Source organism: Homo sapiens, chromosome Y, assembly GCF_000001405.40.
Source record: "Homo sapiens chromosome Y, GRCh38.p14 Primary Assembly".
Taxonomy (NCBI): Eukaryota; Metazoa; Chordata; class Mammalia; order Primates; family Hominidae; genus Homo; species Homo sapiens.
Genome location: NC_000024.10, coordinates 12,437,402 through 12,449,883, shown reverse-complemented (window position 1 = coordinate 12,449,883; position 12,482 = coordinate 12,437,402). Strand labels below are relative to the sequence as shown.

General features: G+C 45.4%; 1 pseudogene; it reads left to right on the top strand.

Moving 5' to 3' along the window:
* Positions 1 to 11,279, top strand: part of LOC124905301 (glycoprotein Xg-like) — a 69,005-nt pseudogene extending 57,726 nt beyond the window's left edge.
* Positions 11,280 to 12,482: the final 1,203 nt, after the last annotated feature.

Sequence of the window (12,482 nt, the reverse complement as noted above, 5' to 3'; positions counted from 1 at the left end):
GTTATGTAAATGGGCTTTCCAGTTGGTCAGTGCCATCTTGTCTGCTTCTTACTGTACATAGGGCTGACAAAGAGGAGGGAAGATGAAGCTGCCATCTTGAACATGTCTAGGCCCTAGTTCCTGCTGGCATTCACCCATGCAGGCTTCTAGCTGGCTTGTCTATGTCTGCAGCTCAACTTTACAGGCTGCTTTTTGTTATGAAATGATTTGGGGCTGCTTTTCATTAAAAAGAAGAGCCTTATCAAGGACTCCCATACCCTTGCTATGTGCCTAAGTAATAAAGTAATTCCTTCTTAACTCCTATATCAACTGGAGGTTTTGCTTTTTTTTCTTTAAACAGGGTTTCATTTTGTTACCCAGGCTGGACTGCAGTGGTGAAATCATAGCTCACTACAGCCTCAACCTCTTGGGCTCAAGCGATCCTCCCGCCTCAGCCTCCCGTGTAGCTAGGACCACAGGTGTATGCCACCACAACTGCCTAATTTTTAAAAAATTTTTGTAGAGATGGGGTCTCACTATGTTGCCCAGGCTGGTCTTTAACTCCTGGCCTCAAGTGTTTCTCCCACCTCAGCCTCCCAAAGAACTGGGATTATGGGCATGAGCCACTGCACCTAGCCAAGACTGGAGTTTTACGACTCAAATCAGCTTCACCCAAAATGTGGACACAGGGTTTTTCAAAGTATAATTTCGCTGGTAGGAGACCTGGGCATGGGGAATGCTGATTGGTTAGTTGGCAGTAGAGTCACAGAGGATGGACATGGATTCTTTTTGTTGTCTTCTGTTCTTGTGTGGGACGGCAGAGCTCGCTGAGCCGCATTACCAGTCTGGGTGGTGCCGGCTGGTGCATCTCAATGCAGGGTTTAAAAAATATCTCAACTTCAACCTTAGGTTTTACAATAGTGATGCCATCCCTAGGAGCAACTGAAGAGGTTTGGAATCTTGTGGCCTCCGGCTGCATGGCTCCTAACCTATTAATATAATTTCTAATCTTGTGACTAATTTGTTAGTCTTTCAAAGGCAGTCTGATCCCCGGGGAAGAAGGGAGTTTGTTTCAGAAAAGAGCTGTTATCTTTGTTTGAATGTTAAGCTGGACATTCCTCCTATGGTTATCTGAGTCTGTGTTCAGGAATGAACTAGGGCTGTTTGAGGGCTACAGGCACGATGCAGTCGGTTAGGTCAGATCTCTTTCACTGTCGTAATTTTCTTACTGTTATAATTTTTGCAAAGGCGGTTTCAATTTAACTGAAAATGTCAGGCAAAGACCAAATTAAATGTTTTTACAGAAAGCCACTGGGAGTAGTTTTTTATTATTCTATTACTTATTTATTTAGAGACAGAGTCTTACTCTGTTGCCCAGGCTGGAGTGCAGTGGTGCAATCATAGCTCACTGCAGCCTCAAACTCCTGGGCTCAAGTGATCCTCCCACCTCAGCCTCCTGAGGAGCTGGGGCTACAGGCACACACCATCATACCCAGCTAAATTAAAAAAAAAATTTTTGTAGAGATAGGATCTCACTTTTGTAACTGCCCAATGGGTTTACCTCGCCCCCTGCCTAGACAGAGCCGATTTATCGAGACAGAGGAATTGTAATGGAGAAAGAGTAATTCATGCAGAGCCAGCTGTGCCAGAGACCAGAGTTTTATTATTACTCAAATCAGTCTCCCCAGGCATTCAGGGTCCAGAGTTTTTAAAGATAATTTGGCGGGTAGGGGCTTGGGAAGTGGGGAGGGCTGATTGGTCAGGTTGCAGAGGGAACCATAGGGGGTTGAAGTGAGGTTTTCTTGCTGTTTTCTGTTCCTGGGTGGATGGCGGAACTGGTTGAGCCAGATTACCGGGCTGGGTGGTGCCAGCTGATCCATCCAGTGCAGAGGCTGCAAAATATCTCAAATACCGCACTTACATTTTACAATGGTGATGTTACCCCCAGGAGCAATTTGCAGAGGTTCAGACTCTTGAGCCAGAGGCTGCATGTCCTCTAAACCATAATTTTTCTTTTCTTTTCTTTTCTTTTTTTTTTCGAGACAGAGTATCACTCTGTTGCCCAGGCTTGAGTGCAGTGGCGTGATCTTGGCTCACTGCATCCTCTGCCTCCCTGGTTCAAGCAATTCTCCTGCCTCAGCCTCCCCAGTAGCTGGGACTACGGGCACATGTCACCATGCCCGGCTAATTTTTGTATTTTTACCAGAGACGGGGTTTCACCATATTGTTCCGGCTGGTCTCGAACTCCTGACCTGAGGCGATCCACCCTCCTCGGCCTCCCAAAGTGCTGGGATTATAGGCTTGAGCCAGTGCGCCCAGCCCTATAGTTTTTAATCTTGTAGCTAATTTGTTCGTTCTACAAAGTCCAGCTGGTCCCCAGGCAAGAAGGAGGTGTTTTCAGGAAAAGGCTATGATCAATCTTGTTTCAGAGTCAAACCATGAACTGAATTCCTTCCCAAAGTTAGTTGGGCCTATGCCGAGGAATGAACAAGGACAGCTTAAGGGTTAGAAACAAGATGGAGTCGGTTAGGTCTGGCCTCTTTCACTGTCATCATTTCCTCAGTTACAATTTTTGCAAAGGTGGTTTCGCCACATTGCCCAGGCTGGTCTTGAACTGGGCTCAAGCGATCCTCCTACCTTGGCCTCCATAAGTGCTGGGATTACAGGCCTGCACCACCACATCCGGCCCACCTTGGAGCGTGTTATATAAAGCGAGCCGTCCCCACACCCCTACAGCCTACGAATGAGCCTTTTCACCTCATGCACGATTCTCTGAAACTTCTCTCTGTAAGGAGCTATTCAGGACATGTTCTTTTGTTCTCTGGCATACTCATCAGTTAGAAAGAAATGATTCAGCAAGCGGCTCCCCTGAGAGCCCTGATCGTTTCCTGTTTTCCTGTGAAGTTAGTCTCGGGAGGTCTGCGCTGTGCCATTTTTGGGGGACCATTATCTGGCTCCCGAATGGATCAAAGCTTACTGGTCAGGGTGCTGCTGTATCCCTGGGGCAAAACTGCCGGAATATAGCAGATAGCCCTGTGGTCCTTGGCAGGGCCAGGGCCCGGTGGAAGCAGCAGCTGGGCCAAGAGCATCAGGCGTGCATGAGGCACAGCCCAGTTTTGGGAGCATGACGCTTGTTTTTGAGGATGCCTGTGCTCCCCTTCCTGCCTGGACCCCTGCTCTCCAGCCCCGGCAGAGCGAGGCTGTGAGTCAGCGCTCAGATTAGCATCAGCATGGAGGTGCCGGCTGGGATGCAAGCCGCCGCCATGGGATGAGTCACGCGGCTTCTCCCCGAATCCCCAAAGGAGGCAGAGAGTGTTAGGCTTGTTCTGGCTTCATGCAGAGCACTGAGGGGTGAGGGCTGACCTTGGCTGGCCGCGGAGGGAAGCCCAAAGTCTGGCCTCCCTGCGGAGACTGGGGAGAAAATGTTGCGCTCGTCGTTTTTAAATACTGGTGGACAAGTTTCTCTTGTCTGCTAAGGCTGCCATTGTAAATTACTAGAGTCAGGAGGGCTGAAGCAAAAGGGTTTTCTTCTCCCACAGTCCTGGAGACTGGAAATCTGAGATCAAGATGTGAGCAGGGCTGGTTCCTCCTGAAGCCACTCTCCTGGGCTCGTCGACATCATCATCTCCCTGTGTCCTCACAGGGTCGTCCCTCTGTGGGTGTCTGTGTTAAAACCTCCTGTTCTTATGAGATGTCTCAGTCCATTTCAGGCTGCTATCACAGAATACTATAGACTGGTGGCTTATAGACAACAGACATTGATTCTCCCACAGCCCTAGAGGCTGGAGGTCCAAGATCAAGGTGTGGGCAGGGCTGGTTCCTCCTGAGGCCTCTCTCTTTGGTTTGGAGACACCATCTTCTCCCTGTGTCCTCACAGGGTCGTCCCTCTGTGTGTGTCTGTGTTCCAATCTCCTCTTCTTATGAGATGTCTTAGTCCATTTCAGGCTGCTATCACAGAATACTATAGACGGGGTGGCTTACACACAACAGACATTGGTTCTCTCACAGTCCTAGAGGCTGGAGGTCCAAGATAAAGGTGTGAGCAGGGCTGGTTCCTCCTGAGGCCTCCCTCCTTGGCTTGTAGACACCATCTTCTCCCTGTGTCCTCACAGGGTCATCCCTCTGTGTGTGTCTGTGTCCTCATCTCCTCTTCTTATAAGGTCTGTAGTCCTATTGGATTAGGGCCAACCCTAGTGATCTCGTTTTATTTTAATCAGCTGTCTAAAGACGTTGTGTTCAAATACAGCCACAGTCTGATGCCCTGGGGGTTAGGACTGCGACCTGTGAATTTGGAGGGGGATATAGTTCAGCCCATAGAACCCACTATCCACATAAGTTGTTCCACTTCAAAATCAGCACAAAGCATTAGTTTTAAAAATCTCAAATCTGTATTTTTAAAAATTGCTCTTAACACATTAGAAAAATATAGAAAAACTTTTTTGTTGTTGTTTTTCTGAGACAAAATCTCACTCTGTAGCCCAGCCTGGAGTGCAGGGATGTGATCATAGATCACAGCCTCCACCTCCTGGGTTCAAGCAATCTTTTGCCTCAGTCTCCCAAGTAGCTGAGACTACAGGTGCACATCACCACACACAGCTAATTTTTTAAAAATTTTATTTTTAGTAGAAATGGGGTCTTGCTATGTTTCTCCGGCTGGGCTCCAACTGAGCTCAAGTGGTCTTACTGCCTTGGCCTCCCAAAGTGGTAGGATTACAGGTGTGAGCCACCACACCCAACCTGGAGGAACTCTTTTTTTTAATGGGTTATGATTCCTACTTATGGCCTGCGTTTTCATCCTATTCTCTTTTTTTTAACCAACATTTGTGGGCATTTGTTTTATGCCAAATAAAACACATTTGGCCATCTATGTCAGGCCTCCAGACCCTCAGGGATGCACATCTAATGCACCTTCAGCCACCAGTGTAAACAGTAAACAAGGGCCAGATGGCACCTGTGCACCTTCCCTAGCCTTGGGAGAGCCATTGGAATCTCTGCAGCCTTTAAGAGCATCTTGCTTCAGGTTTGCTGACCTGCTTGTTTCTGTAAGATCACGTAGACTTCCTGAGCAATAGCTAGCATTTCATGGTCTCTTTTCTATCCTGCAGGAAGAGGGGGCTATAGACCCAACTCTTGTTATGGAAATACTTACGGAAAAAGAATTATGTCTTACAGAATATGTGAGGCAAAACTGTCCATTTGCAAATAACTAACACACTGTCTGCACTGATGTGAAGCTCATGCTTTTATCCAATGCACAACCACTAACTGGCCGTTCCGGTCTTTAATTTGCATTTTCCTTGGTCATCCATGCTGGGGGAAGATGTTGTGCATGCCCTGAGGACTTAATTTCTTGAAAGGAACTATGGCCCACTTACAGGTTTTACTGGGTGCATGTGTGTGCACGTGTGTGTGTATGCATATGTGTTCACACACAGGTATGCTTGTGTGTATTGTGTGTGCATGCATGTGTACATGTGCATGTGGATTTTGTAATCATGTGCATAAGTGCATGTGGATTTCATATGCACGTGTGCAAGTGTCTGTGTGCACACATGTGGATTGAGCGATGCATGTTTGTGTATGTGCACAGATGTGTTGGCATGTGCTTGTGGATTTTGCATGTGTGCATGTTTGTGCTTGGGTTGCATATGCATTGCATGTTTCCCGTGTGTGTCCATTCACATGCATACATTTAGGGGTGTGCAAGCACATGTGTGCATGTGGATAGATGCAGGAGTGTGCATCTGGGTGTGCTCGTGTGGTATGTGCATACTGCATGAATATATCATGTGCATCTGTGCATGTGGATTGTGTGTACACATGCATGTGTACAGGCACACACATAAACACATGAATGTGTTTATGTGTGTGTGCATATTTGTGTGTACATGCATGTGTTTATGCATACAGGTGTTAACATGTGCACACATCAGTGTGTGCATATGCACACATGTGTACATGTGTTTGTTTAGGCGAATTGTGCTTTATATGTGCTTTTGTTGCCTGTGTGTGTGGTATGTGCATGTGTGTGTATGTGGGGATATGTGGGATGTGCATGTGTGTGGATGTGCACATTGAGGGCATGTGTGCTTCTGTGTTGCATTTGTATTTACATGTTGCACATGTGTGTAAATGCATGTGTGTGTGCATATGTGTATGTGTGCTTGTCTGCCTGTGTGTTGCACGTTTGTTGCATGCTGCATGTGTGTATGCACGTGCACACACATTTGTGCATGTCAGTGTGTGTTGCATGTGAGTGTGTATGAATGGCGTGTATGTGTGTACATGTGTGTCCATGGGGTTGTCAGCCTGTGTGTGTTTTGCATGCGCATGTATGTAGACTCTCCAATCCTGAAATTAAAGCTGAATCTGCCTCTCCCTGGTATTATCCCCATTCCGCTAATGACCATTAGACATGGCATACACATTCACATTCCTCCTCCTTATGCTGCTTGGCTGTCCCCCTCCCCCCACAAGAATGTAAATTCCCTGAAAACAGAGATCTGTGTGCTGTGTTCATAGTTGCATCCTCAACAGTGCCCGGCAATATAAAGCCCTCCATAAGCTCTGCTGAATAAACACGAGCATCCTTTTCTGCTTACAGGTGGAGATCACCATTCAACCTATGGCAATCCAGAAGGTAACTGATTGACTCACCTGGTCCCAACCTTTAATAAGAGCACACTCTCCTAAATCAGCACTGGGAGGAGCTGTGTGGGCTTCTGTTTCCCAACCTCATGACTTTCATGGAGCACTCATACTTTGTATGTATATAAAGTAGCTTCTGAATAAAAATATCTGACCTTCAGAACAGGACCAATCAGAGTTCAGAGAAAGGAGAGGCAAGCATTGGTTTTCACTGCAGAAGATGCCCCTTAGCTCTCAAAGCAAGGCTGTGAATGAGTGCTGAGACTTACATTTCTCCCAGTACCACCATTACTCCCCTTTCTTTGACCAGCACTAACTTGAAACCCAAGGACAGGAGAAAGGAAGTTATGAACACTCTGCCCAAAGAAGCCGTCAGAATGCACTGTCAATCCCGTCTCAGGTCAAAGGAGGGAGAACTTGAAGCCCAGAAGGCTGATTTTATGTCCTGTATTGCTGGGAGAACAGGTTCCCCATTCCCTAAGAGTCATATTCTTAGAGATTTGGGCTGACACCTGCTTGAGTTTAAGTTGAGAGTAAATGCACTCAACCCCAAGGCTCTTGTGAGTTTTCAATTATGGGGGAGGAGAAAGTGATTGAACGTGACCTCTACCTTTCAATGAACATGCAGAGTACTAGTATCAATATTTTTGGGATATGTTGGCATCCTTAAACAAATTTATGGATTCACCTTTTTCCCACTGTGGTGTAAAGTGAGGTCCAGAGATGGAAAGGGCAAGGCAAATAAACAAGTAATTGCAGTCAAATCTGATGAATAATTTGCTGGAACGTATGGGATCCTGTAGCAAGGCAGAAGGGATACTCCTAGACTGGGTTAGGTGAGGGAGGTAGGGCTTCCTGGAGAGAACAATATCCAAACCAATCCCCAAAATATGGGTGGGAAGTGCCCAGGAGAAGAGCGAGATGTCAGGGAAGATAGTGTGCTAGGTAGAGCTGGATACACATATGGGGACACTAGAGATTGTGTAGCCAAAGTGTGGAATGCAACGGGAACCAGGGAAGGATGCAATGGTGACAAAGAAAGACCACCAGGTTAGCAGAGGTGAAGTCTGCATTTCTTAGAACCTTCATGGGGAACAGCCTGCCCCTGTTGGATGTGTAGGTGAAGAATGGACCTGAGGGGACTCACTAAGGCCCAGGGAGACTCCATTTCAGACCAGTTTAGTACCCTCTGGAAATGATGACAGGCTGAATTAAAGCCTGGGCAAGGGAGGCAAAGAGAAGCAGTCAGCTTGGATGACCACTTGGTAATGACAATTGATTGTACTTGACTGATTTGTAAGAGATGGGAGAGAGGAAAAGGTATGTATCAGTCAGCTATGCTGTGTCACAAAAGACCCCAAAACTTAGTGGCTGGAAATAACCACCATTTACTATGTTCATGATTATGTGAGTCAGCAATTTGGGCTGAAACCATTCTAGTGGTCCTCCTGGTCTCTTCTGAACTACTTGTCTTGTGTGCAGTCAGCTGTAGGTGTGGCCAGCGCTTTGACCATGTTTCCTGGGTCTTCTTATGTATTTGGGGCCTTAGGTGGAATGGTTCATCTCAGCTTCATGTGGACTCTCACATCCCTCCAGGAAGCCAGGCCAGGCTTCATCACACACCACAGACCAGGTAGGGTACCAAGAGCATGAAGAGAAGCGTGCCTGGGCTTAGAGCCACATGTCTTCACTTGTGTGACATTCTGTTGGCTAAAGCCTGGATTCTCAGAATGAAGATGCAGCTCCACCTCTGGACGGGGAACACTGTGAAATCATACTATGGATTGTGTGCATGTAGGGAGGGGAAGAATAGAAGGCTGTCTCTCCCAGGAGGCAGGGTGTGGCAGGTGGCAGCATCAGCCATAGAGCAGGTTCTTGCATTCAGTGACAACACTCTTCCCCCCAACATGGCAGCCTCATTCTTGGAGCAGTCTTGTGTCCCTCACCTATGCCATGCCATGTATTGGCCCATGTGTTCAACCCTGTCTGAAGAAAGCCATGCATGGAAAGGGTGGCTATTTCAAATGGAAACAGTGATTTCTTCCTTTTTTCCCTTTGGAAGTGTTGATTTTTGTCACATCAAGCTCCTTCTTGTTCTTTGTGCAGGAGTGCCAAAGCTCTGGAGCAATTTGCCATCGAGGCATTGAGGATGCTTGTGTCTAGTGTGTGCTTGGGTCTAGAGTTCCAGCATGCCTTTGAAAGCAAGCCTATCTGGCAGTTTTTAGTGGAACAATATTTTTGCATGAGTGGGCATTCTACATCTAAAAAGGCACAAAATAGTTTTGACATGTGCCTGTCATCCCAACTACTCAGGAGGCTGAGGCAGGAAGATCACTTGAGCCCAGGAGTTCAGGACCAGCTTAGGCGGCATAGTGAGACCCCATCTCTAAAAAAATAAATCAGGCCAGGCGTGGTGGCTTGTGCCTGTAGTCCCAGCACTTTGGGAGACCCAGGTGAGTGGATCACCTGAAGTCAGGAGTTCGAGACCGGCCTGGCCAACATGGTGAAACCCTGCATCTACTAAAAATACAAAAATTAGCTGGACGTGATGGCATACACCTGTAGTCCCAGCTACTTGAAAGGTTGAGGCAGGAGAATCACTTGAACATGGGAAGTAGAGATTGCAGTGAGCCGAGATCACGCCACTGTATGCCAGACTGGGCGACAGAGCAAGATTCCTTCTCAGAAAATAATAAATAAATAAATAAATAAATAAATAAAATTAATTAAAAGGCATACATGAATTGAATTCAACAAACAAAAATACCAAGTGCCTCGTCTGTGCAAATCCTGGCCTTGGATGTCTTCAGTGATAAGATGTGGTTGACAAGCTTGGCTCTTTGTGAAAACAGAATTACTTCCTAAGGTTTTTTTTTTTTTAAATTAACTTTCTCTTTTTTTTTTTCTGTGGGTACAAGGGTGGGAAGGGATGTGATGGAGATGTTATTAGATTGGTGCAAAAGTTATTGCAGTTTTTGTCATTACTTTCAATGGCAAAAACCGTAATAACTTTTGGACCAATCTAATATTTAAGCAGTTTTCCTGCAGCCATATTTTTTTCTCAGATGAGCTTGCTTTTTCTCCACTCCTGCAGGCAATATGGTAGCAAAAATTGTGTCTTCCATCATATCCATGGTGGTGGTGACACTGATGGGAGCAGCAGCCAGTTATTCCAAACTAAACAATAGGAGGAATTTGTTTCAGGACCCATGGTAACTTTGGCTCTAAACATTGTTTTCCTTGTTACGATGCCTGATTTTTTATTTTAAAAATTACTTTTGGATGTCTGTCACTAGCAAAGTTATTCCTGGTTAAGTTCAATATACATAACTTGCCCAATAATGTGATTTTTAAAAATTTATTTATTTTTTTTTTGAGACAGAGTTTCACTCTGTTGCCCAGGCTGGAGTGCAGTGGCATGATCTCGGCTCACTGCAATCTCTACCTCCTGGGTTGGGTTCAAGAGATTCTCTTGCCTCAGCCTCCTGAAGAGCTGGGAATACAGTCATGCACCACCATGCCTGGCTAATTTGTGTATTTTTTGTAGAGATGGGGTTTCCCCATGTTGGCCAGACTGTTCTTGAACTCCTGACCTCAAGTGATTATCTGCCTGCCTTGGCTTCCCCAAGTGCTGGGATTACAGGCATGGGCCACCGTGCCTGGTCAACGATTTGGTTTTCATGGTCAGGTGTAGTCTGTACCTTCCTCTAAACCTTGTTACAATGACGCTGGCACGTTATCTGTCTAATGTAAAAGAGAGGGAGAAAAAAAGGAAAGAAAAAGAAACAAACAAAAAAATTACTAACCTACATTGCAGGACTAAAGCATGATAGTTGATTGAACTAATCAAATATAGTCCTGTTTTGTATTCAGTGAAATTTTCGTCACAGGTGGGTCACGAAAAATATCTGGGTTGAATGTGAATGTTTTGCACAGAACCCCACCCACAAAGAAAACTACCAAAACACTAAATTATAAGCCTCTCTGAAATTCAGAAGGTGTGCTCAGACCATAGGAGAGAAGAAAGATCTGCTGTGGCTTCCTGGTTCAATGCCGGCTCCACACTCCTGGGTTTGAAGAATCACTTGGGATTTGAGAGCAGAGGATGCCCTAAAGAAATCTCTGAAACAACAGTCAGGGATTGTCAGGGATTGTTTTATAGCCTAAAGAGTGACTCAGATCTTTAACTGGGTGTCTCTGGAGGCTTGGTTTAAACCTCAGGCCACCCACGTCAGAATCTGTCTGGAGTTTGCCCAGGGCCCTCTAACTCATACCTTCTTTGTGTCCCCGAAGGAAACCAGAAAGGGGTGCCCATTCCTACGGTGTTTGCTTTAGGATTTGCATTTGGCCTCAAAAATCCTAAAACCTTCCCATGCGCTCTCTCTGCTGGTGAATGGGCAGTATCAACCGTTAGCTAATGAACCTCTGTTTGGGGTAAGCCTCCATCTATGTTATGCCCTGTCCTGAAATTTTAGGAGGAAACTGAGTTACTGAAAAACTGCCTTATTTTCCTGGCAATCTGAGAGCAGATTCTTGGGTTCAGTGACAACACTCTTTCACCCAACGTGGCAGCCATCATTAACGAACACCATGTGTTAATTTCAGTAGCCTTCGTGGCAGTGATTTGTAAGCCTTTGTCAACCAAGGGCTGAAACTGAATAAGCAGAGAGAGGCAGTCTCCACAAGCACAAAATATAAGGGCGGGGTACAGGGGTCCCCCACAAACTCAATAAGACAAATATATTTTAGTGCAATATTTTAAAAGGAAAATCATTGGAATGGGGGCCAGTTGAGTTTCTGAAATAGGTGTAGTTTTAAAAACGTGGATGATGCATGCCCCATTTATCTGAGGTGGAAGCACTTTTTTGCTAAAGAGGTATAATGTCTTGAAGCTCTTTCATGCCTTTTGGCTGCCTGGTAAGTATTTTTGTCTACTTTCTCCATTGTACTTCGATGATACCCTCACCAGGTATTCCCAAGCACCAAGTTTATCTTCCCCTCCCTTAAAGTTCCTGAGATCAGAAAGGAGGATGTAGACAGAGTGAGCTGATGTTAGGGAGATCTCTTCAAGGGTGAGCAGTGACATTTATGTGGATCCTGGGCCTATATCACCTCGCTGGCTGTAAAGCCTTTATACTATCTAGGAAATATGTGCATGACAGCAAATACATATGGGTTTGGTATCAAATGGGGCTCAGAGCTCTGCGAACTTGACTCTAAAGTTCCAGGCTGCTGCTAATGGTACCCAGCTGTCCACTTCTCCTTAGTTAGGTCATTAATTTTCTCTGTCTCCTAAAGGATGACGTACATGGTATACTAACCATATCCACGGTGATGTGATGCAGTGCACAACCTGTGGAACTGTGTACATGCTGAGGCCATACACTGAAGCTTGCACACTTTGTAGAGAAAGAGTTGTAGTAACAGAGCTGCACAGATAGAAGCAGATGTCTGTCACTTGATGTGGACTTTTAAGAATCATACTTTGCTTTTATTTTATAAAGTGGAGCAAATGACAACATCACTTCAGAAGTTATAAAGACCAACAAGGCCATATTCTAAAAAAGAATTTCCTACAAATATTAGTTTTAACCAAAAAGAAAGTTACTCAATTCATTTAAGATCATCAAAATCCTTAACAAATGGCAAAATGTAAAAAAACAATGTTTTGAAAACTAATATTTATTTCCAGATATGATTTTAACAATTTTTAAATATTTTCTTTCTTTCTTTTTTTTTTTTTTTTGAGACGGAGTCTTGCTCTGTTGCCCAGGCTAGAGTGCAGTGGCTGGATCTCGGCTCACTGCCAGCTCTGCCTCCCGGGTTTACGCCATTCTCCTACCTCAGCCTCCTGT